Source organism: Homo sapiens, chromosome 15 (assembly GCF_000001405.40).
Source record: "Homo sapiens chromosome 15, GRCh38.p14 Primary Assembly".
Lineage (NCBI taxonomy): Eukaryota > Metazoa > Chordata > Mammalia > Primates > Hominidae > Homo > Homo sapiens.
In genome coordinates this window covers 44,473,445-44,498,876 of record NC_000015.10, presented here as the reverse complement: position 1 = coordinate 44,498,876, position 25,432 = coordinate 44,473,445, and the positions used below count along the sequence as shown (strand labels likewise).

General features: G+C 41.1%; 1 protein-coding gene across 14 annotated transcripts in view; it reads right to left on the bottom strand.

Moving 5' to 3' along the window:
- The window catches only part of CTDSPL2 (CTD small phosphatase like 2), a 101,410-nt gene that overhangs the window by 30,162 nt on the left and 45,816 nt on the right, over positions 1-25,432 (bottom strand). For 9 of the 14 annotated variants that reach the window (XR_007064453.1, XR_007064452.1, XR_007064455.1 and 6 more), the window contains exons 3-7: positions 14,515-14,653; positions 12,177-12,326; positions 7,878-8,093; positions 2,419-2,497; positions 1,739-1,850 (exon numbers count right to left, since the gene is read on the bottom strand). Coding sequence is in view for 9 of the 14 variants with exons in the window: in XM_005254441.3 (XP_005254498.1) it covers positions 1,739-1,850; positions 2,419-2,497; positions 7,878-8,093; positions 12,177-12,326; positions 14,515-14,653 (696 nt within the window). In the remaining 5 variants the exon portion in view is untranslated. The remainder of the gene's footprint in view (positions 1-1,738; positions 1,851-2,418; positions 2,498-7,877; positions 8,094-12,176; positions 12,327-14,514; positions 14,654-25,432) is intronic. The other 5 variants (XR_007064454.1, XR_007064456.1, XM_011521665.3 and 2 more) reach the window with 1 other exon arrangement.

Below are 25,432 nucleotides of genomic sequence, written 5' to 3'. Positions count from 1 at the left end.
TGTAATTTTACTCAGCACCAGATGATCTAGGTTCACTGCAACCTCCACTTCCCGGGATCAAGTGATTCTCCTGCCTCAGCCTCCCAAGCAGCTGAAATTACAGGCGCCCACCACCACGCCCGGCTAATTTTTGTATTTTTAGTGGAGATGGGGTTTCACTATATTGGTCAGGCTGGTCTCAAACTCCTGGACTCAAGTATCTGCCCGCCTTGGCCTCCCAAAGTGCTGGGATTACAAGCGTGAGCCACTGTGCCTGACCTAGATAAATTTTCTTTCCTTCCTTTTAAAATTGAAATGAGATCTCACTTTGTTGCCCAGGCTGCAATGCAGTGGCACAATTGTAGCTCACTGCCGCCTCAAACTCCTGGCCTCAAGGGATCCTCCTCTCTCGGCCTCCCGAGTAGCTGGGACTACACGCTTGCAACACCAGGCTCATTCATTTTTTGTAGAGACGTGGGTCTCACTATGTTGTCTAGGCTGGTCTCAAATTCCTGGGCTGAATGGAGCCTCCCAAAGTGCTGGAATTACAGGCATGAGCCACTGTGCCTGGCTAAGATAAATTTTCTATGAGAGCTAAACCACATCTCCAAATATAGGGTACCAATTATAGGGTTCCAGTAACAAATGCTTAATAATAAAATATTTTCCAATATGACATGAGATACATTTTTACTAATATCAAGAAATTAGTTCCTTCCTCAATCCCAGGGCTTCACTTTACTAGCCTTAAAAAAAGTAAACAGATTTTAAAAATGCAAAATTAATAAGAAATCAAGAGGCAGAGGGGAAATGTGACTATATATTAAATTTGGTTAGCAAATGATAGGAGATCATTGTTTTCAAAGCTTTTCTGGTACCCTAAAATATCATTTTTTTTTCTGAGACAGAATCTTGCCCTGTTGCCCAGGCTGGAGCACAGTGATATGATCTCAGCTCACTGCAACCTCCGTCTCCTGGGTTCTAGTGATTCTTGTGCCTCAGCCTCCAGAGTAGCTGAGATTACAGGTGTGTATCACCATGCCCAGCTAATTTTTGAATTTCTAGTAGAGAATGGGTTTTGCCATGTTGGTCAGGCTGGTCTCAAACTCCTGGCTTCAAGTGATCGGCCAAAAGTTCGGCCTCCCAAAGTTCTAGGATTACAGGCATGAGCTACCACACCCAGTCCCTAAAATACAAATTTTTAAATCACATCAAGATATCATACTGGGGCCGGGCTCAGTGGCTCATGCCTGTAATTCCAACACTTTGGGAGGCCGAGGCGGGCGGATCATGAGGTCAGGAGGTCGAGACCATCTTGGCTAACAAGGTGAAACCCCGTCTCTACAAAAAATACACAACAAAAAATTAGCCGGGCATGGTGGCAGGCGCCTGTAGTCCCAGCTACTCGGGAGGCTGAGGCAGGAGAATTGTGTAAACCCGGGAGGCGGAGCTTGCAGTGAGCTGAGATCGCACCACTGCACTCCAGCCTGGGCGACAGAGCGAGACTCCATCTCAAAAAAATAAGAAATTGTGCTTTTGAGACTATTAATAAAAAGTGTATTGGTATAATATATATGTAAAAATAAGAATAAGAAAAGGGTTATGGTCTTGCATATGGTTAATTAAGTTGACCCAAATTATTTTTGGTCCTTCAGGAAAACATGATCCTGACAAAAAAAAGGGAAAGCTAACATAAGCATGATTCTAAAAAAGAATTTCACCCCTTTATTCTCTCTACCTCTACAGATAATATACTTACCAAGTCTAAAACTAGGGAGAATTCCGGTGTGCTTCTTGTTTTCAACGGAAGAGCAGGTTTCCTATTTAGTTGTTCTTCTGTCAGTGGCGGGACATGTTTGATGAAATAATAGCTATAAATCAGATTTTAAGAAAATTTCAACATTTTACTTTTTATACATATAGAACATTACTAAGCTCAGCCCATTTAAAAATCTATAAAGCAGTTAACCCAGAAAACAAAACTTATAAAACATATTAATAAAAGTGAAAACATACAAATTAGTATCTCTGTAAAATAGTAACAGCTGTTTTTGTTTGTTTGTTTTTGAGACAGTCTCACTCTATCACAGGTCACTGTAACCTCTGCCTCCTGGGCTCAAGTGATCCTCCCACCTCACCTTCCCTAATAGCTGGGACTACAGGCATGTGCCACCGTGTCCGGCCAATTTCTGTATTTTTTATAGGGACGAGGTTTTGCCACGTTGCCCAGGTTGGTCTTGAACTCCAGGCTCAAACAATCTGCCTGCCTGGGTCTCTCAAAGTGCTGGGATGAGCCACTGCACCCAGCCCCATTAAAAGTTTCAAATACCTACAGGTCACATATCTTGGCAATATACTATTTAGCCACCAATCCACATATATAACGTACTCTCATCATGCTCCAAAAAGGAAAGAAAAAAAGAGAAAAAAGCAACTCACGGGTCAAATACTTCCCAGTCTTCTTCATAGGTGGCCTCCGCGTGGGCTGATGAATAACCACTATCTGGAGTTACTGGTGCTATTTAACATAGTGAAAGAAAAAATGTTGCTTTTACTTAATGCTTCATGAAATATATATTTTTACTGCTTCTATCTAAGATCTTCCTAAAGCCTTGTGTATTTTAAAGACAGAAATAACTTGTAAACACCTAAAAGCCAATTTATTAACATACAGATCTAACTTTAGATCTAAAGGGAAAAATGACCACTATAGAAAAAATGGCAAACCAGATCATGGCTAGAATTAAGATGTTTATCAGCTAAGAAAAAATCTACTACTTATTACTAGAAAAATATACACCAAAAAATGTAATCTTCTAATTGTATGGTGTTTACATGTAATCACCAAAAAATTTCATGGTGCTCTTATAGGGGTAATAGTTCATAAAATGCCTTGTACATACACGCAGTCAGTAAATGTATGCTGACAACAGACCCAAATGTAGGTTTTTTGTGTTTTTTTTTTGAGATGGAGTCTCGATCTGTCGCCCAGGCTAGAGTGCAAATGGCATGATCTCAACTCACTGCAACCTCCACCCCACAGGTTCAAGCGATTCTCCTGCCTCAGCCTTGTGAGCAGCTGGGATTAGACACGTGCCACCACACCTGGCTGATTTTTGTATTTTTGGTAGAGACTGGGTTTCTCCATGTTGGTCTGGCTGGTCTCAAACACCCAACCCCAGGTGATCCGTGCACCTCAACCTCCCAAAGTGTTGGGATTACAGGCGTGAGCCACTGCGCCCGGACCATGAACAGTCTTTAAAAAGTTCATGAGCCCTTTGAAGATTTATTTTAAAAAACTGTATGTTCCCAGGAATCTCAAGACTATGATCTCTTTTTTTTTTTTTTTGAGGCGGAGTCTCGCTCTGTCACCCAGGCTGGAGTGCAGTGGCGTGATCTTGGCTCACTGCAGGCTCTGCCTCCCAAGTAGCTGGGACTACAGGCATGTGCCACCACACCTGGCTAATTATTGTATTTTTAGTAGAGACGGGGTTTCACAGTGTTAGCTAGGATGCTCTCGATCTCCTGACCTCATGATCCACCGGCCTCGGCCTCCCAAAGTGCTAGAATTCCAGGCGTGAGCCACCGCACCCGGCCACGACTATAATCTTAAAAAATTAAGAAATGCAGCCAGGAGTGGTGGCGGGCGCCTGTAATCCCAGCACTTTGGGAGGCCAAGGCAGGCGGATCACCTGAGGTCAGGAGTTCGAGATCAGCCTGACAAACATGGAGAAACCCCATTTCTATAGAAATACAAAATTAGCTGGGCATGGTGGCACATGCCTGTAATCCCAGCTATTCAGGAGGCTAAGGCAGAAGAATCGCTTGAACCCGGGAAGCAGAGGTTGCAGTGAGCCGAGATTGTGTCATTGCACTCTAGCCTGGGCAACAAGAGCAAAACTCCATCTCAAAAAGAAAAACAAAAAATTAAGAAATGCTACTCTATGCAGACATTCTGTTTTTTTCTTTGTTTGTTTGTGTTGAGGCGGAGTCTCAATCTGTTGCCCAGGCTGGAGTGCAGTGGCGCGATCTGGGCTCACTGTAACCTCCGCCTCACCGGTTCAAGCAAATCTCCTGCCTCAGCCTCCCGAGTGGCTGGGATTATATGCACCTGCTACCACGCCCGGCTAATTTTTTGTATTTTTAGTAGAGATGGGGTTTCATCATGTTGGCTAGGCTGGTCTCGAACTCCTGACCTCAGGTGATCCACATCAGGTGACCCGGCCTCGCAAAGTGCAGGGACTACAGGCATGAGCCACTGCATCCAGCCAGAAATTATTCTTTTAACCTTTTTTTTTTTGAGACAGGGTCCTGCTCTGTTGCCCAGGCTGGAGCACAGTGGAGCAAACACTGTGGACTCGACCTGGGCTCCAGCAATCCTCCTCAGCCTCCCAAGTAGGTGGGACTACAGATGTACCACCACACCTGGATTATTTTTAAAAATTTTTTTGTGGAGACAAAAAAGTATCTTGTTATGCTGCCCAGGCTGGTCTTGAACTCCTGGGCTGAACAGATCCTCCTTCCTAGGCCTCCTCAAGTGCTGGTGAGCCACTGTACCTGATCAAAATCACTGCTTAGAAGACTTACTATTTTACTTCTAATTTATAAACACTTAAAAATGATCAAGAAGTAATTCTATATTGCATGCCATAGTTCATTCCCAGTTTGAGCTAAGAGCTTATCTTTTGATAGTGCTTTAGAAATTATGCTGGGAATTTTCCAAGACAATAATTATAACTTAAATGTAAGAAGACAAAGGTAACTTACAAGCCAAATAGGTAACGTCTCAGATATAAAAATTTAAAGTAGAACCCAATAAAAATTTCTATAGTCTTTCTATAGAAATGAAATGGTAGATAATAGTCTTTCAAGACAAAAATTAATCTTTTGTGCAATTATCATGTATTAACACCTTTTGAGACAGAGTCAACGTGGTGTGTATGTCCAATGGATGACATCAGATGTAAAGCAGAATTTTTTTTCATCTCTGACATTATGCTTCCAATAATCAGCACAAAAAAAAATCTCCAACAACTTTACCATTTCAAGTTCCTATTAATCTCAGATGAAAGAATATTTTTATTTTATTATTATTTTTTGAGACAGGTCTCACTTTGTTGCCTAGGCTAGAGTGCAGTGGCATGAACACAGCTCACTGCAGCCTTGACCTCACAGGCTCAAGCAATCCTCCCACCTCAGCCCTTCAAGTAGCTGGGACTATAGTATGCAAGCCACGATGCCCAGCTAATTTTTTTGTTGTTGTTTTTGTAGATACAGGGTTTCGCCATATTGCCCAGGCTAGTCTCAAACTCCTAAGCTCAAGTGATCTGCCCACCTTGGCCTCCCAAAGTGCTGTGATTATAGGCATGAGCCACGGCACCCAGCCAAGAATATTTGTTAAGTGCTTATATGCTAAGTATTTTGCCTATTTTATCTCCTTTAGCCTGCAAAACCTTGTATTACAAAAACTATGTTAAAGCTAAGAAAACTGTTTTTGAAACTGTCTCAAAAGCTTAAATAAGCTGTCCAAAGTAACACAGCTGCTAGCTTCCTACCTTCTTGTTCTCTTTGGCTATGTTCTCAAAGTTAAGGAAAAGAATACTTTTGTCACTCATACTAAATGCCTCTATCTATACTCTCATGATCATCCCAATCAGAGTAACTGCAATGTGACACACCATGTCATTTAGCTCACTTCTTTGTAGCAGCACTCACCATACTGTATAGTGATGTTTCTGTATATTTGGCTCTTCAATTAGATCACAAACTCCTCAGGAGTCAATTCATCAACAGTTCCAATCACAAAAAAAAAAGGTGCTCATAAATGCTGGGAGAATAAATGAATGACTGTGACAACTATAGTATATCTTAATTTTCCCTTCTAGAAACCGCTAAGTTACAGAAATCCTTTCTCCATCTTCACAGTTGTCAGAAAAAATAAATAAAAAGGCTTATACAAGAGCATGAAAATACAGAACAAACATCGAACAGGAAGCCAAAGCCCTGAACTTTAGTCTATACTTTATTAGTCTTATACCACTGGGCAAAGTAATAAGCATAAAATGATGGGTCAAAGGTGGGTTAAATTGCAAATATTACCCACAAAAGAATGAACGTAATTGTATTGATTTGACTGTTAGATTCTGTATTATTTTTAAATTCTGAATTTAACATTATACATATGAATCTTTCACTTGATGACTTTAAAATAAACCTATTTTGCTGCTTGTCTCTTCACGTTGGTATTACTGGATTGCATTATATAGAAGTTTCATAATTGTATCATATTTTCTTTAAATGTTTTCTGCTGTGTCAATTACTTTTTTAAAAGTTTCCTTTTTATAGCTGAGAGAAGTACAGATGCTCCTAGACTTATGATGGGGCTATATCCCAATAAACCCATCATAAGTCACAAATATCATAGGTCAAAATGCATTTAACACCCTGATAAACCCATTGTAAAGTAAAAGAATTGGAAGTTGAACCACTGTAACTCAGGAACCATCTGTATATTATATTTCCTTAAACCAAACTATGTTTCTTTTTTTCTTTTGTCTTTCCCAAGACTGGATCTTGCTCTGCTGCCTAGGCTGGATTGCAGTGGCTCAGTCATAGCTCACGGCAGTCTGGAATTCCTGGGCTCAAGCAATCCTCCCACTTCAGCCTCCTGAGTAATTAGGACTACAGGCACATGCCACCATCCCCGGCTAATTTAAAAAAATTTTTTTTGGCCGGGCGCAATGGCTCACAGTTGTAATCCCAGCACTTTCGGAGGCCGAGGTGGGCAGATCATTTGAAGTCAGAAGTTCGAGACCAGCCTGGTCAACATGATGAAACCTGGTCTCTACTAAAAGTTAAAAAAAAAAAATAGCTGGGAGTGGTGTCACATGCCTGTAATCCCAGCTACTCAGGAGGCTGAGACAGGCGAATCGCTTGAACCCAGGAGGTGGAGGTTGCAGTGAGCCAAGATCATGCCACTGCACTGTCCAGCGTGGGCGACAGAGTGAGACTCCACCCCAGACAGGGTCTGGCTCTTTTGCCCAGGCTGGTCTCAAACTCTTGACCTCAAGCAACCCTCCTGCCTTGGCCTCCTGAAGTGCTGGGTTATAGGCCCCAGCCATCATGCCTGGCCCCAAACTATGTTTCTTAACTAATATATATTTACTGCGCTCTCTCAAATACCTGGTACCACAATAAACAACAACAACAAACACAAACAAACAAAACAAATTTAAGATAAAATCTCCATGCCCTAATAAGAAGATGGCCTTCTTCAGTTTTATTTCTGCTTTTAAGAATGGTGGAACACAATTCCATCTTGTACCCTGTCTATCCACCACAGTACTCAGAGGTAATGAAATTCCTGATCCATATGTTTCCACATTTCAAGGACAAATGGCTCCGAAACCCAATAATTATGTTTGGCCTTTATAAGGTTCCAAGTCAGGCTGCAAACTTAGGTATATAGGGAGATCTAGGAACAGAAGCAGTTTTTGGGGGGATGTCATTGATGTAATCAAACAAATCTGAAGGTATGAGACTGCCTCTAGCTAGTGACCTCAGACATAAGGGTCTAAGACTTGTGCAATAATAATAAGGATATTCATAAACATGAGCATATATTTTGTTAGTTGTATTAAATTTCTCCAAGCAATAAGATTAGTAGTAATAATTAAACTGTAAAATGACTAATACTTAGTCAAAATCTTTTAAAAAATTTCAATTTCAAAATGACTTTGGATTTTTGGGACAAAGCTTTGTTTCCAATTTTAACTTTTTCTTAACTTCCAGGAAGAAAAACCTATGCATATAATGTGCTCATTTAAGAAAAAATATGAAATACTGTTATTTTTTATCAACTACTCATGAAGATGTATAAGAAAAGAAATTTTCTTCACCTGTAAGGGGTGGGATATCACGATTAACTGTTTCTTCTGCTTCTTCTAAACCATTGTTTAGTGATGGTCTCACTTGAACTGCTTGATTTGAGTAAGCTGCTCCATTAGTTGATGTAGTAGTACTGGTAGTGATCTCATCCACCTGTTCCATATCAAGTTGTTTTACTATTTCTTCAGCTTCCACAGCCTGTCCTGGAGAATCTGATCCTGACGTTCCTGAAATCATGATTCAGTGTACTATCATCATTTAAAAATGCACCTATTTAGAAAAACTAAATGCAGCATCACCGTACAATATATTTATTTAGACTGATCATTCCTGCAGGAACAAAGCTGAGTATATTGCTTTTAGAGAATCTTTGCTAGCTATTTCAAACAATGAAGAATAAAGACTTACAGGCTAGAGTAACATTTGTGAGCAAAGTTTCTGCATCCTAGTCATGTGTGCAATTGTAATTTTTCAACCAGAGGTATCAAAAAATTAGCTGTTCCCCTAATCATGAGAACCTTTTAATTAAAAGATATAAAAATAATTTCTCAGCAAAACTCCATCTCAATAACAAAGACTGGGCCAGGTGTGGTGACTCATGCCTGTAATCCCAGCACTTTGGGAGGCTGAGGCAAGCAGATTGCTTGAGCTCAGGAGTTCAAAACCAGCCTGGGCAACATGGCTGTCTCTACAAAGAATATAAAAACTAGCTGGGTGTGGTGGTGCACATCTGTGATCCCAGCTACTCATGAGGCTGAAGTGGGAGGATCGCTTGGGCCCAGAAGGAGGTCAAGGCTGCAGTGAACGGTGATCGTACTATTGCACTCCAGCCTGGGTGACAGAGCAAGACCCTGTCTCAATTAAAAAAGAAAAAATAATAATCCCAGGTCTTTCCATTTCCTTCTGGAATCTTCCAAATGTCATTTTAAACAAAAATAACAAAAAAAATTAACCTCCAATATTCTCAACTTCCTTACAGAACATTCCTTCTCCCTTGTTGCTTTAAGTTTAACCTCTTTCCTAAAAGGTTTTTCTGATACCCTTCCCTCAATGCTCTTTATTCTCCCATACCAATATACTAATTGAATCAGAATTCATTTATCTCCATTGCTACTATCCAATCGCTGGTTTTCCACTAATGTGCAAAAAAAGTCTGCTCTTTTGAGACTGATGTCACATGGCTATATAATTCTTCACTTATCCTCACTGCTGGCACCTACCATCTACTGCCAGAATCCTCTCAATCGCAAAGAAGTTTAATACATAGCTACTAGTTTACTGCTCTATTTAACACAGTATTTTTTCTAGTTGTTATTACAGATGATGTCAATGACTCATCCAATGACTAATCCTCAAAGTTCTTGCCCTCTTCAGCTCCAACCACCTTCACTCATACTGCTCTATATCAGTTACTACCATAGCTATAACCTGGACATTAACACTGAGAAACTTCACCTCTGAAGCCTAAAATTCTAATACTGTATTAACCACTTAGCACAACCTCCTAACCCTCAAATTATATATCTCATACTCCCATTATATGTGATCTTCAAACTTGATAAAGGCCAGTCTGTTTAATTCCAAACACGTCCCTCAAACACTTCTTCTCAACCCTCCTCATCTAGTTAGACTTCGTGGTGTATCACTTAAATACACTGTCAAACTGGCAGCCTCAGTATCCTTGATCCCTCATTCCTCCACTGTCATCCATCAAGAAATCCCTCTTGAATCAACGTAACCAACAGGCTTCTCAGACCCTAGTTGCAGGCTATGGAACAAAAAATACAATTACAAAGACTGGTCATAATCCAAATAAAACAGAGACACAGAGACAGGGAAAGGCAGGGGGAGGGGAGGAGGTAGGTGGGGGGGAGGGGGGAAGAGACAGATGTGGGAGTGGAGAGAGAGGTTGTGTGTGTATGGGGTGGGGAGAGAGAGACAGAGACACACACAAAGAAAATATCAATGTAAACCTTCACTATTCTTCCCAAGTCCCTTCCACTAGAACTATCATTAATGACACCATCTCTTCCTTCCAAGAAAACTCTATCAAACTTCAACTCCTTCTTCCCCAGACATCTATTTCTGTACACACCTTCAGAGATATACACACCTTCAGAGATTCTTTACTTCAGCATGAGGGGAAAATATTACTACTGGGGTTTGTTTTTTTTGTTTTGTTTTGTTTTTTGAGATGGAGTTTCACTCTTGTTGCCCAGGCTGGAGTGCAATGGTGCGATCTCAGCTCACTGCAACCTCGGCCTCCCAGGTTCAAGCAATTCTCCTGCCTCAGCCTCTTGAGTAGCTGGGATTACAGGTGGGTGTGCGCCACCATGCCCAGCTAAATTTTTTTGTATTTTTAGTAGAGATAGGTTTCTCCATGTTGGTCAGGCTGGTCTTGAACTCCTGACCTCAAGTGATCCGCCCATCTCGGCCTCCCAAAGTGCTCGGATTACAGGCGTTGAGCCACCGCGCCCAGCCTGAATATTTTTATTTAAATATTTCATGGCATCTCAAACTCAGCATGGTCCAAATTACACTCAATTATCTATCTCCCAGGAACTTTATTTTCCTTGAATCTTCTACTCTTGTGCCATCTTCATCTCTATTCTCTTTCACCTCCAATCTGCACCAAAAATGTGTCTATTTTCTATCCTCTGATCCTTCCTGTCTTCTCTAATACAATTAAGGTCTCATCAAGTCTCACACAAACGACTACAAGTCTACTAATTGTTCTACCTGCCTATGGCCTCTTCAGAATCTAGTCTACACACTACTGCCCAAGTGATCTTTATAAAACATAGATCTGATCGTATTATTCACCAGTTTAAAACCTTTCAGGCCGCTCTGCCTATGGAGGAGGAGCCATTCTTTATTCCTTTTTCTTTTTTTTTTTTTTTTGAGACGGAGTCTTGCTCTGTCACCCAGGCTGGAGTGCAGTGGCATGATCTCAGCTCACTGCAGCCTCCGCCTCCTGGGTTCAAGTGATTCTCCTGCCTTGAGTAGCTGGGATTACAGGCACATGCCACCACATCCAGCTAACTTTTGTATTTTTCTTTAGTAGAGACATGGTTTCACCATGTTAGTCAGGCTGGTCTTGAACTCCTGACCTCATGATCCACCTGCCTCGGCCTCCTAAAGTGCTGTGATTACAGGTATAAGCCACGGTGCCCGGCCTATTCCTTTACTTTCTTAATAAAATTGCTTTCACCTTGGGGAAAAAAACAAAACAAAACAAACTTTCAATTATCCCATACTTGAATAAAGTTCATCATCTTACTATGTTAGCTCTATTATATGACTTCTTCATAGCTCTCCTACCTTATCCCTTCTCAAATGCAATGTTCCATCAATTACAAACTACAAACAGCTCTCAAATACACTATGCTGTTTTCTGCTGCAAGGCCTCTACGCATGCTGCTCCTTCTACCTGGAATGGCTTTTGCCACTTTTCCAGATTCGGCTTTTCTTTCAAGCCTTTTGTGAGCCACTACCCCTGCCACCCAGAAGACAGGACCATTCCATTCTTTTTATTTTTTTTTACGTGGACCCCCTACTTGGCTGTCCAAGCTTGAGTGCAGTGGTACAATCACAGCACACTGCAGCCTCAAACTCCTGGGTTCAAACTGCTGGATTGAAGCATTCCTCCCACCTCAGCCTCTGGAGTAGCTAGGACTACAGGCGTGCACTACCACGCCCAAATAATTTTTACATTTTTTTGTAGAGACAGGGTCTCACTATGTTGCCCAGGCTAGTCTCAAACTCCTGCCCTTGAGCAATTCTCCTGTCTTGGCTTCCCGAAGAGTTCAGATTACCGGCATCAGCCACCACACCCAGCTCCCAAGGAGCTGTATATTATTAATGAGGTGGAAAACATACACGAGACATTGACAAAATATGCTAATAAAATAAAAAAGATCTTTTTAAAAACTATGTATTTTTTTGCTGGGCACAGTTGCTCACATCTGTAATTCCAGCACTTTGGGAATCCGAGGTGGGCGGATCACTTGAAGGTCAAGAGTTTGAGACCAGCCTGGTCAACATGGTGAAACCCCGTCTCAACCAAAAATACAAAAAATATTAGCCGGGCATGGTGGCAGGTACCTACAGTCCCACCTACTTGTAAGGCTGAGGCAGGAGTATTGCTTGAACCTGGGAGGCAGAGGCTGCAGTGAGCGGGGAGATCGCGTCACTGCACTCCAGCCTGGGCAACAAAGAGAGACTTCGTCTCAAGAAAAAAAAAAAAAAAAAACCCAAACTATGCATTTTTTTAAAAAAAATCCAAATCACAGTTAACAGTTTATACTTACCATTTTTATTTGCTGGTGAAAAAAAGTTGAAGACAGGTGAAAATATGGTCCCCAACAAAGTAGTCCTTGGAGGACTGCCAGAGGAAGGATTATCTTCTAATTTTCCATTTTGTTTTACATGTTGATTTGTCATTTCATAACTACCAGCTTCTAAAAAAGAAACAAGAAAAAAGTCATGATCTAGAAAACACTGAATTTCAGAAGTGTGTTATAAATCATTCATTATAGAAGTAACTCTTTTTCCCTCAAAATACTTCACGAAAGCTAATTAATGTTAATGTTCAGGAAAGCTTATTAAAGAAACATTGAGGTAAATTACTCGTAAGTCAAATGCTCTTTATGTATCAATGTGTTTATAATGCTAATATTTACTGAGTTTTTTCAAAGTAGATTTACACCTATAGACTGAAAGGCTTCAAATCAACACAGTATAACACAAAATGAAGAAAATTCTTTGTAAACAAGCAAACTAGTTCCCACCAACTAAAACACAAATAATTTTATTTTTGTTTACATTCTAGGACGGTTCTAATTCATAAAACCTTCCCTCACATCTGCTTCTATCTAATGAATGACAGCGAAATGAATAGAGGCAACATAACTCTACTGAAGCAAAAGGCTATATATAGCAGTGTCAAAAATTACTTATGGACACTGAGACGCCATCTCAGAGTGGCTAGGGAAAATAATTTTAAGTTTCCTGTAAATCAAAATGTTCCACAGATCTTTTAAGAATATAAAAGTAAAATCAATCAACTGTTCTAATTAATCATCCTTTGATTCTCCTCAACTTTTGATGTCTACAACACTTATTTCCTTCTTTGCTATGGTTCTTTTAACTTGTTTCTTTCTCTATTTTGTCCCCCTTGTCTTGTCTCAGTCTTTTTCTCCCTCCTGGTTTGTTTTTTCTAACAATAAAGATATATTGCTGCACTGGGCAGAGACAAGGGGAGAAATTGCTGCTGTGTTTAAGATAGCATTCGTTAAAACAGTACTCCATACTCTAAAGCAGGGGTCCCTAACCCCATACCCACTGGTACCAGTCCGCAGCCTATTAGGAACTGGGCCGCAGAGCAGGAGGTGAACAAGCATTAACGCCTGAGCTCTGCCTCTACTACCTTATCTGCAGATAAGCTGCTGCATTAGATTCTTTTAGGAACACGAACCCTACTGTGAACTTTACATGCAAGGGATCTAGGTTGTGCGATCCTTATGAGAATCTAACTAATGTCTGATGATCTGAGATGGAACAGTTTCATCCTGAAACCATTCCCATCACTGTCAGTGGAAAAACTGTCTTCCACAAAACTGGTCCTTGCTGCCAAGAGGTTGGGGACTGTTGCTCTAAAGTGTTATTCTTTATAGCTGTCTCTGCTTTTCCTTAATGCTATTCTCCTTCTTTTTGACTTTGAGGAGTTTCTCTGCTATGCAACAAGGTATTGACAGAGTTTATCAACAGCGGCAGTATTGACATTTCAGTCTAATTCTTTGTTTTGAAGAGCTGTCCTGTGTATTGTAGGATGTTTAACATCTCTGACATCCACCTAGTAGACACTAGTAGCCACCCCTCCACAAGTTGTGACAACCAAAAAGGTCTCTAGATATTGACAAATGTCCCTTGGAGGAAAAAATCACCCCTAGTTGAAACCTACTGGACTAAGTGATGCAAGTCCCCTCTGAGCTCTTAAGTAGAATAATCTAGGAAGAAATTTGGTATATATTTCAATTAAATTAAGTCACAATTATTATTGCTTTAAGAAATGAGTTTATTTAGATGTTCAAAATGTTGATCCACATACATTTTTATGCTAAATAGCATAAAGGTATATACTCTATCTTTACTTACTTTAATTCAAAGTAAGATTCAAATTAGCACATTTTTATTTCACTTCATGTTACTAATAATACAAAGATTACAAAATTAAGGCAAAAATTACTCAAAGTAGTTTTGTTTTGTTTTTGAGACAGAGTCTCACTCTGTCACCCAGGCTGGAGTGTAGTGGCACAATCTCAGCTTACTGCAACCTCTGCCTCCCGGGTTCCAGCGATTCTCAACCTTCAGCCACCTGAGTAGCTGAGATTACAGGCATGCGCCACCACGCCTGGCTAATTTTTTGTGTGTGATTTTAATAGAGACGGGGTTTTGCCACGTTGGCCAGGCTGGTCTCAAATTCCTGGCCTCAAATGATCCGCCGACCTCGGCCTCCCAAAATGTGAGGATTACAGGCATGAGCCACTGCACCCGGCCTCAAAGTAGAGTTTTAAAAATAGATAAGAAATGTGTCAGGTGAGATCTCTGCTTACACCTAAATAAAACAGTATCTAAATATTAACAAACCTCCATTTACTTGACTTTTCCGTCTTACTCGAGATATCTGTTTGTTAGGTTTTTCTCCTGCTCTTGGTGTTGACGTGATCAAATTGTTATCTATATCACGTTCAATTCTACTCCGTTTTGAAGGATTTTCTCTCTCTTCCTTAAGATATAAGAGAAAAAAAAACACACTAAGCACAATCATTCTGCCTTACAGGTTACAATATTAAAATGAAAAAATACGGTATAATATACTTTCCTCTGCTTTTCATATCCAGGAAAAACAAAATGCAATTATAGGTAATATCAACACAGAAAAAATTTGACAGGGCTGTAAGAACATGAATGCAATTACAATATACAAATACAATTACAGCATCCCTACAATTCAGATCCCTTCCCCAAGGTCCATTAAGTTTTCCATGCTATCAAAATATTGAATTATAGAATGTGCTCTGAATCTTCAAAAGCTTTCCCTCATTTTTAGAAGTGTCCTTAAGAACAGAGATAATTTCCTTAAGCAACTCAGGGTAGGAGAGGGAGCCCCACTGAATGTGCTGGCAAGTCACATATAGCCCAAAAATAGAGGGTGGGGATAAAGGTGGGGCCTGGCACTGCCACACCCGCACTGCCTACCTCAATTATTCAATTACCAGAATAAATAATATAGAGTCTACCCCTTAACAAAGCTCTCTATTTGCTACCTTATATGGGGCAAGTCCCCATGACCAGTTTATACTATTCTTGCAGTACTAATGGACTAAAATAGTATACTTTCAGCCATTAGGATGATTTATGTTTTACTATTTATATATATAGTTTTCTAATTTGTAAATTTTTTTTTTTTTGAGACAGAGTTTTTCCTCTGTTGCCCAGGTTGGGGTGCAGTGGTGTGATCTTGGCTCACTGCAACCTCAACCTCCTGAGTTCAGGCGATTTTCCTGCCTCAGCCTCCCGAGTAGCTGGGATTACAGGCGCCCACCACCATGCCCAGCTAATTTTTGTATTTTTAGTAGAGACGAGGTTGGAATTACAGGCGTAAGCCACTGTGACCAGCCTCATTTGTAAATTTTTTCTAGAGTCATGCACATGAGTGATTTTTTCTTTTTCTTTTTTTTTTTTTTGAGACAGAGTCTGACTCTGTCACCCAGGCTAGAGTGCAGTGGCACGATCATGCCTCACAGCAACCTCCGCCCGCCTCCTGGGTTCAAGCGATTCTCCTGCCTGAGCCTCCCGAGTAGCTGGGATTACAGGCACGCACCACCACGCCCCGCTAATCTTTGTATTCTTAGTAGAGACAGGGCATCACCATATTGGTCAGGCTGGTCTCGAACTCCTGACCTCGTGATTCGCCTGCCTCGGCCTCCCAAAGTGCTGGGATTACAGGCATGAGCCACAGCACCTAGCCACATGAGTGATTTTCTAGTATTACTATAATACTGCCCTACATAATTCCTTACTGTTTTAATGAGACTACCTGAAATCTTTTGGTAAGGATTAGATCTTCAAATTTACATATTATATATAATTGATACATATAATCAACATTCTCATCTCTACTTTTTTGTATTTAATGTTTTTACCCTACAGCAACTAATAAAATGCACTAACATACATTTTCTACAAGTTGGATATTGCTGCATTATTTCTGAAACAAAACTTGGCATTGTAAATGGTGAAAATTACAATAGCATACAATAATGCCTCAGTGATCCACAATAAAATCCTTCCAATTCTGACCATGTACTATTCTCCTGTATTTTAAAATGAGGATCAGGGAGCCTCCTATCACAAACATGGAATCTTCATTATCAAAAAATACAGGAGCTCTCTTTATAAAGTCTTTGAAGAACAGAAATAATACAGCAGTTTCAACTACATTAAGTCCTAGCCTCCCCCTGAAATGTCCTAGTACAGCTGCTATAACATACATACATACATTCATGAAAACCTTGCATTCTGCAACAATAAAAGTAACAAAACTTATGGAAAAAATGGGTCCAGAAGGGGAGAGAGGTATGTTGGGGCAGATTAGTTCATGCCCCTGTAACTTTGTAACCATAGCACTAACAAAAACAATGATTGGAGCTGGGCTTGGTGACACATGCCTGTAATCTCAGCTACTTGGGAGACTCAGGTGGGAGCCCAGGAGTTCAAGGCTGCAGGGAGCTATGATTGCACCACTGCACCCCAGCCTGGGCAACAAAGTGAGACCCTGTCTCTAAAACAACAACGACTGGGACCACCAGAGATAACTTGGACATCCCTACGCAGGTAAGGCAGCTAAGAGGGCTGGAATGCTACCTCAGGGGATAATAAAGGGTACTAAAAACAATGAAGTAGAAACGGGCTTATGGGAAAAGTGAAGCTTTAAGCCAGCAGGGCTGCTGTTAAGTTGGGTACAAAAGGAAATGCAAACTGCCACATGTGAAGAGTCCCTGCTAGACCAGGGTGCACCTCTCTGGAGAGAGAATATCTGCTGCAGATTATCAGTTTTAATTAAAAATAAAAATAGGCCGGGCGCTGTGGCTGAAGCCTGTAATCCCAGCACTTTGGGAGGCCGAGGCAGGCGGATCACCTGAGGTTGGGAGTTCGGGACCAGCCTGACCAACATAGAGAAATTCTGTCTCTACTAAAAATACAAAATTAGCCAGGCATGGTGGTACATATCTGTAATCCCAGCTACTTGGGAGGCTGAGGCAGAAGAATCGCTTGAACCCGGGAGGTGGAGGTTGTGGTGAGCTGAGATCATGCTATTGCACTTCAGCCTAGGCAACAAGAGTGAAACTCCATCTCAAAAAATAAAAATAAAAATACAGGTGAAAGGACTTGTGCCTATGTAGCAGCTGAACTGGAGGCTTTTTACTTTCCTGATGAAGAGAATATCAAATTCAACTCTAATTATTCAGTTTGTTGTCTGGTTTAGAAGAAAATCATCTACAAACCCCTCCCCCCTACTATGTTATTGATACTACTCCCCTGTTTACCAATAGTGAGTAAGCTAAATAATATTATTGTAGGGGCACCACATATTGTTGCAGAACAGACTATAAGGCGGTCACTTTAGAACACATTCAAATACTTCAGGTTACAAAAACGGAAGAGGAAGCTATTAAGGTCAAGACTAAAATTCTGCAGTCATTGACAGTAAAATCATACTCTTCAGAATAATTCATTGAAATGCCTAATGATCCAATCCTTTTATTTCCCCCCAGTAGAGACAGGGTCTTGCTATGTTGTCCAGACTGGTCTTGAACTCCCAGCCCCAAGCAATCCTCCTGCCTCAGCCTCCCAAAGTGCTGGGATTACAGGCATGAGCCATGGTGCCCAGCCTGATGATCCAATTCTGAATGACAATTTGTCACCCAATCCTAGTCTTCTGTGAACATTCAACTGTAAAATTTGGGTATACTTTGAACATGGTAGGATTTTTTAGAAGAGGAAGACGAACTAGGAAAGACACAGTTTCTACATTACTATATAAGCTGTTTCACTAAATACAGTAATCCTACAATGTCTTCTCTAAAATCTGTATTTTTCTTTTTTCTTTTTTTCATGGAGGCAGGGTCTCTGTCGCCCATACTGGAGTGTAGTAGCACAGTCATGGCTCACTACAGCCTCAAACTCGTAAGCTCAAGCATTCTTCCTGCCTCAGCCTCCCAAGCAGCTAGGAATACAGACACATAACATCACGCCCTGTTAATGTTTTTATTTTTTGTAGAGACAGGGTCTCGCTATGTTGCCCAGGCTGGTCTCAAACTCCTAGCCTCAAGCTATCCTTCCACCTCAGTGCAAAATTTGTATTTTTCAAAGTTGTCTCTAAGATAGGTAATTAAGGGGAAAATGATGGGAAGGTGTTCTTAAATATATGAATCCCCATGTAAATACAGAGAACTGAAAAGGCAAGAAAAACCCATGGGCAACATTTACAACGAAACCAGAAGACAAGGTATCCCCCACACTCAAAAATGCAAGCAGATGAGAACAAACCAACAGGCACAATAACTAAATGTCCATATATACCAGTGCAAAGGAAAACAGAAATAAGCAACAAGTGAGGTGGCACACCTGAGAAAAGAAGCCCCAAATACCTAACAGGTAGGTAGTCACTGGAAACCACGGCAGGCCAATTTGAGAACAGCAAATGAAATAAGGGGGAGGGGAGTTGGGGAGTTGCTGTCCAATCCAATAGCATAGGGGGTCTATGGCTAGAATTGAAATGACAGGAACAGTCTGCTCCTATGAACTCTTGAAACTGACCAACTATGGCGCCCTTCTAGAACAAGTTTCCATACTTAGGAGGAAGTATTGGGAGTGGAATCAAATGTGAGTAGGGCAGGCACAGAGAGAAAAGACAGAGAAATTCCAAATAAACACATGGTAGAAATAAAAGACAAAACTCAAAAAGCATCACCAATATTTAAAAACACTACATAAAAACAAAATTTGTTCAAAGAGATACCCTGAACTACATAACTTTCTGAAAATTCAGAAAAACTAATTTCACATAAAAATGAGCAAGAAAGTATAGATATCAAATCCCACACAAAACTACTATAATGAAACACACGTGGAGCAGAACAATACCTCTATAGATAAAGAACACGTGTCAGAAAAAGATGCATAGGGAAAAGATAAAAATTATAATCTTCTATTTCAAAATCAGGCAAAATAAGAAAATATGAGGCTGGTGTGGAGGCCTGTAATTCTAGCACGTTGGGAGGTCGAGGCAGGAGCCTCACTTGAGGCCAGGAGTTTGAGATCAGCTTGGGCAACACAGCAAGATCCCATTTCTACACAAAAATTTAAAAATTAGCCAATCATGGTGGCATGTGCCTATAGTCCCTGCAACTCAAAGAGGCTGAGGCAAGAGGATCACCTGAGCACAGGAGTTTGAGACTGCAGTGAGCCATGACCATGCCACTGCAACCTGGGCAACAGAGCAAGATCCTGTCTCAAAAAAAAAAAAAAAAAAAAAAGGAAAGAAAATATGAGACATACAGCAGAGGAAGAAAAACTCAGAAACTAAGAAACAGAACAAAAAAATTCAAAAATTTTTACAAATCATTTCAGAAATAAAGACTATACTACAAGGGGCCCAAGAGAGTAAACAAAAGATTATACCTTATAAGAAAGAGGGTAAAATGAACAATTTTGTTCTTTTGAGAGCCAGGGTTTCACTAAGTTGCCCAAACTGGTCTCAAATTCCCAGGTTCAAGCAATCCTCCTGCTTCAACCTCCTGAATAGCCAGGACTATAGCTGATGGCCAGCACACCTGGCAAGGGAGAAAACTTGTTTTTTTTTTTTTGTTTGTTTGTTTTTTTTTAAAGAAATGAAGACAGACATAAAAACAAATGAAGAAAATGTAAAAGCCAGGAGTGGCATGTCAATTCAAGACACGTTTTATTATTTTTTATTTGTTTTTGAGACAGGCTAGACAGCCGTCACCCAGGCTAAAGTGCAGTCAGTGGCTCCGCCTCCTGGGTTCAAGCAATTCTGCCTCAGCCTCCCAAGTAGCTGGGATTACAGGTGCCTGCCACCACGCCCAGCTAATTTTTGTATTATTAGTAGAGACAGGGTTTCACCATGTTGGTCAGGCTGGTCTTGAACTCCTGACCTGAAGTGATCTGCCTGCCTTGGCCTCCCAAAGTGCTGGGATTACAGGCCTGAGCCACCAAGCCCCAGGTCAATCCAAGACATGTTCTAATTTAGCAACTTAAAAAAAATTATATTATCAAACGTTTGACAGAAACGCTTTTCATGTTGGAAGAAAATAGAATAACATTTAAAATAACCAAGAAAAAATGTGAGTTAAGGATTTTATATCCAGCAAAACTGATTTTCAAGCATAGAGGGCACTGTTATCAACATGCAAAAGCTCAGAATATGCTTCTCATGAGTCTTTTTTTTTTTTTTTTTTTTTTTTTTTTTTTGAGACAGAGTCTTGCTCTTCTTGCCCAGGCTGAAGTGCAGTGGTGCAATCTCAGCTCACTGCAACCTCCACCTCCCGGGTTCAAGCGATTTTCCTGCCTCAGCCTCCCGAGAAGCTGGGATTACAGGTGCCTGCCACCACGCTGAGGAAATTTTTGTATTTTCTTTTTTAGTAGAGACGGTTTCACCATATTGGCCAGGCTGGTCTCAAGCTCCTGACCTCAGGTGATATGCCTGCCTCAGCCTCCCAAAAGTGCTGGGATAACAGGCATCAGCCACCATGCTCAGCCCCACCAATCTTTTCCAAGGAATTCACTACAAAAATGAGCTTCAGACAATGATGCTAAGACTAATCATAAACATCAAGCACATCAAACAGATGGAGAACCTGTAGAACTAAGCCAAATTTGAATAAAGGATAGCATGTAATGAGTATGTGCTCAAAAAATGTAGACATAAAACTAAGAAAATTGGTGAGAAACACATACTAAATAAAGTTCTGCAGGCATCAGATAAATAGTACCAGATAAAATCCTAAATGCGTTGGGTGAATAACATAATGGAAAATATGTGAATACATATAAAATATCTTTGTGTTAAGTATTTTTTTTTTTTTGAGACTACGTTTCGCTCTTGCTGCCCAGGATGGAGTGCAATGGCACGATCTTGGCTCACCACAACCTCTGCCTCCCAGGTTCAAGTGATTCTCCTGCCTCAGCCTCCCAAGTAGCTGGGATTACAGGCATGCGCCACCATGCCCAGCTAATTTTTTGTATTTTTAGTAGAGACAGGGTTTCTCCATGTTGGTCAGGCTGGTCTTGAACTCCCGACCTCAGGTGATCTGCCCACCTTGGCCTCCCAAAGTGGTGGGATTACAGGCATGAGCCACCGTGCCTGGCAAGTACTTTTTTTTTTTTAAAAAGACAGGGTCTTGCCCTGTCACCAAGGCTGGAGTGCAATGGCACGATCTTAGCTAACTGCAGCCCTGACCTCCCAGGCTCAAGTCATCCTTCCACCTCAGCCTCCCAAGTAGCTGGGACTACAGGCACACACCAAGTCCAGCAAATTGAAAACAAAATTTTTTTGTAGAGACGGGGTTTTGCTATGTTGCCCAGGCTGGTCTGGAACTCCTGAGATCAAGGGATCCACCCACCTTGGCCTCCCAAAGTGCTGGGATCACAGGTATAAGCCACTGAGCCTGGCCCCCTTTTCTCCCCTTTTTATTAAAGACAGGGTCTTGCTCTGTCACTCAGGCTAGAGTGCAGTGGCACAATCTCACCTCACTGCAGCCTTTGTCTCCTGGGATCAAGTGATCCTCCCACCTCAGCCTCTGAAGTAGCTGGGACTACAGGTGTGCAGCACCACGCTTGACTAATTCGTTTTTAAAAGTTTTTGAAAAGACGAGGTCTTACTATGTTGCACAGGTTGGTCTCGAAATCCTGGGCTCAAGCGATCCTTTCACCACAGCCTTCCAAAGTCCTAGGATTAAAGGCATAAGCCATGGTGCCCAACCTTGTGTTGTGCACTTCTACTGTGCTCTTACTAATTATCTAGTTGTACCTGCTATAATCTCTGTAACTTCATTATGATTTAGTAAATTATTATTTTGCAATTTCAAAATTTTTCTATATAAAGTAATGCATCACATAACAACTGGGATATGTTTTGAGAAAAGCATCTTTAGCAATTCCATCACTGTACAATCATACAGCGTATTTACACAAACCAAGATGATATTATCTACCACACACCTATCGCTCTAGGCAACCCACCTGTTCGGCAAACTACTATACTGAATACTGTAGGCAATTATAACAAAATGTTAAGTACTCATGTACCTAAACACAGAAAAAAGTACAGTAAAAATATGGTATTATAACCTTATTGGACCATAAGGTGGTCCATGCTGACCTAAACATCATTACCTGGCACCTGACTGTATATATATATTTATGTGAAAACACAGCAAGAGTACTCTTCTGCTTTTGCTTTGCAATAATATATTCATTTAAAATACATTTACTTCTAAATTTTAAGTTTTACATAAAAGTTATTTCAGAATTTAGTAATATTTTAAAATAAAATTTGTGGCCGGGTGCAGTGGCTCGCGACTGTAATCCCAGCACTTTGGGAGGCCAGGGCGGGCGGATCATGAGGTCAGGAGATCGAGACCATCCTGGCTAACAGTGAAACCCCATCTCTACTAAAAAATACAAAAAATTAGCCAGCGTGGTGGTGGGCGCCTGTAGTCCCAGCTATTCAGGAGGATGAGGCAGGAGAATGGCATGAACCCGGGAGGTGGAGCTGGCAGTGAGCCGAGATCGTGCCACTGCACTCCAGCCTGGGCGACAGAGCGAAGACTCCATCTCAAAATAAAAAAAAATGTAACTTTTTAATACTTAATAATGAATCATTAGGTTACAACAGGGAGGTAAGAAGAGCTGTGATTTCAATCCATTGGTGCACTGCTGAAAAATAAGAAACTGACATATCAGGATTCTCTGACTCACAAAGCAGTAAATCTATTCCAGAGACTCTTGATGCAATTGTCAATAGCAAATGAAAGCATGATAAAGATATCTTCCCTTTGGCTGCATAAGGTTGTCTTACTACATCTTATGTAATAGAACATACTTAAATAGATGAGACATATTTAAATGGTGACAATTTAGTATACTGTCATTTGAGAATGAGTTTTTTAAAAAGGAATTTAATACTTTAAATATATACATAATGAGTTCTTTAAAAGCAAAAAGTGGTTAGTTTTTCAAACTAAAAATGAAAAAGCGTCTGAAGAATCTTTTTTTTTTTTTTTTGAGACGAAGTCTTGTTCTGTTGCCCAGGCTGGAGTGCAGTGGCATGATCTCAGCTCACTGCAAACTCCACCTCCCACGTTCAAGCGATTCTCCTGCCTCAGCCTCCCGAGTAGCTGGGATTACAGGTGCCCACCACCACACCCAGCTAATTTTTGTATTTTTAGTAGAGATGGGGTTTCACCATATTGGCCAGACTGGTTTCGAACTCCTGACCTCAGGTGATCCACCTGCCTCGGCCTCCCAGAGTGCTGGGATTATAGGCGTGAGCCACCACGCCCGGCCTGAAGAATCTTAAAGTTATCACACTGCATTGGTTGAAAAGGGGTAAACAATATCAGAGAGATAAATCTTTGCATAGTAGATAGTGCTGAAAGTCTGCTAGATAAAAAGTCAGTAAAAGAAGCATGCCCTCCCACTTTCCAATGCTAAGTTAAATCACTGAATGAAAGATTTATCTGCAAACATAAAAAAAGAAGTAATATCTAGTATGTAGAGAATTGTACTTCTGTGCCTTATTAATGTGGCCGGACTTGGTATTTTGCCTACATGTATTTATTTGATACCAGCACCAACTAATTAGCAAAGAGTTTTGTTACTGTGAATGCATGGTAACAAACAAAAGTGGTGAATCCATTTATTTATTTATTATTTATTTATTGTCTTTCAGTCCATTCTAGAACAACTTGTGTTAACATTTGTGCTAGCTATGCAAGAGCAACGGTGTATATAGTAACTGGTACCTTAAGACAAATCAACGCACTGAAACCCAACAGTCATTGTATTCTTTTCTTTTGAGATGGAGTCACCCAGGCTAGAGTGCAATGGAGTGATTTTGGCTCACTGCAACCTCTGCCTCCCGGGTTCAAGCAATTCTCCTGCCTCAGCCTCCCGAGTAGCTGGGATGACAGGCATGTGTCACCATGCCCGGTTAATTTTTATATTTTTAGTAGAGATGGAGTTTCACTATGTTGGCCAGGCTGGTCTCGAACTCTTGACCTCAGGTGATCCGCCTGCCTCAGCCTCCCAAAGTGCTGGAATTACAGGCGTGAGCCACCAAGCCTGGCCCATTGCATTCTTTATAGCCACGTTTAGCAAGTTGGGAGAGCCAGTTCCTCTCAAGAAAGTTCTTTCTTCTTTTTTAAAACAAAGACGACAGAGTCTCACTTTGTTACCCAAGCTGGAGTGCAGTGGTGCGATCTCCACTCACTGCAACCTCCGCCTCCTGGGTTCAAGCGATCTCCCGCCTCAGCCTCCTGAGTAGCAGGGACTACAGGCGTGTACCACCATGCCCAGCTAATTTCTTGTACTTTATTAGAGATAGGGTTTCACCATGTTGCCCAAGCTGGTCTTGAACTCCTGAGCTCAGGCAATCCACCCTCTGCCCTTCTCGGCCTCCTAAAGTGCTAGGATTACAGGCGTTACAGGCGTGAGCTACCGCACCTGGCCCCAAGAAAGTTCTTGATGAAGCTGTAAAACTGTTAAATCTCGGCCTTTATATATGAGTCTTAACATTCTGTGGGTGGTGGCTCACTCCTGTAATCCTTGCACTTTGGGAAGGCGAGGCAGGTAGACTGCCTGAGCCCAGAAGTTGGAGACCAGCCTGGGCAACACGGCGAAACCCCATCTCTTATAAAATATAAAAATTAGCCCGGTGTGGTGATGCAAACCTGTAGTCCCAGCTAGCTGAGGCGTGAGGATCACCTGAGCCTCGGAAATGGAAGTTAAAACAATGCAGGTTAAAAACAATAAGATACTCTACCCCTGTAGAAAGACTAAAGTTAAAAAGACTTACAATATCAAATACTGGTAAGAATGTGAGCAAGGGAAACTGCTTGAAATTGTTAAATGGAATGTTAGACGGTGAAATAGCTGGGCAGTTTCTCAAAAGTTAAAAAGTGTCTTCAACAAATGGTGCTGGGACTTAATGAAAATGAACATGCAAAATAATGAAGATGACTTCTTACCTCACACCATCTATAAAAATTAACTCAAATGTATCAAAGAGCTAAAAGTATAAAACTCATATAAGAAAATCTAGGGATACGGCTGGGCGCAGTGGTTCACGCCTGTAATCCCAGCACTTTGGGAGGCCGGGGCGGGTGGATCACAAGGTCAGGAGATCGAGACCATTCTGACTAACACGGTGAAACCCCGTCTCTACTAAAAATACAAAATATTAGCTGGGCGTGGTGGC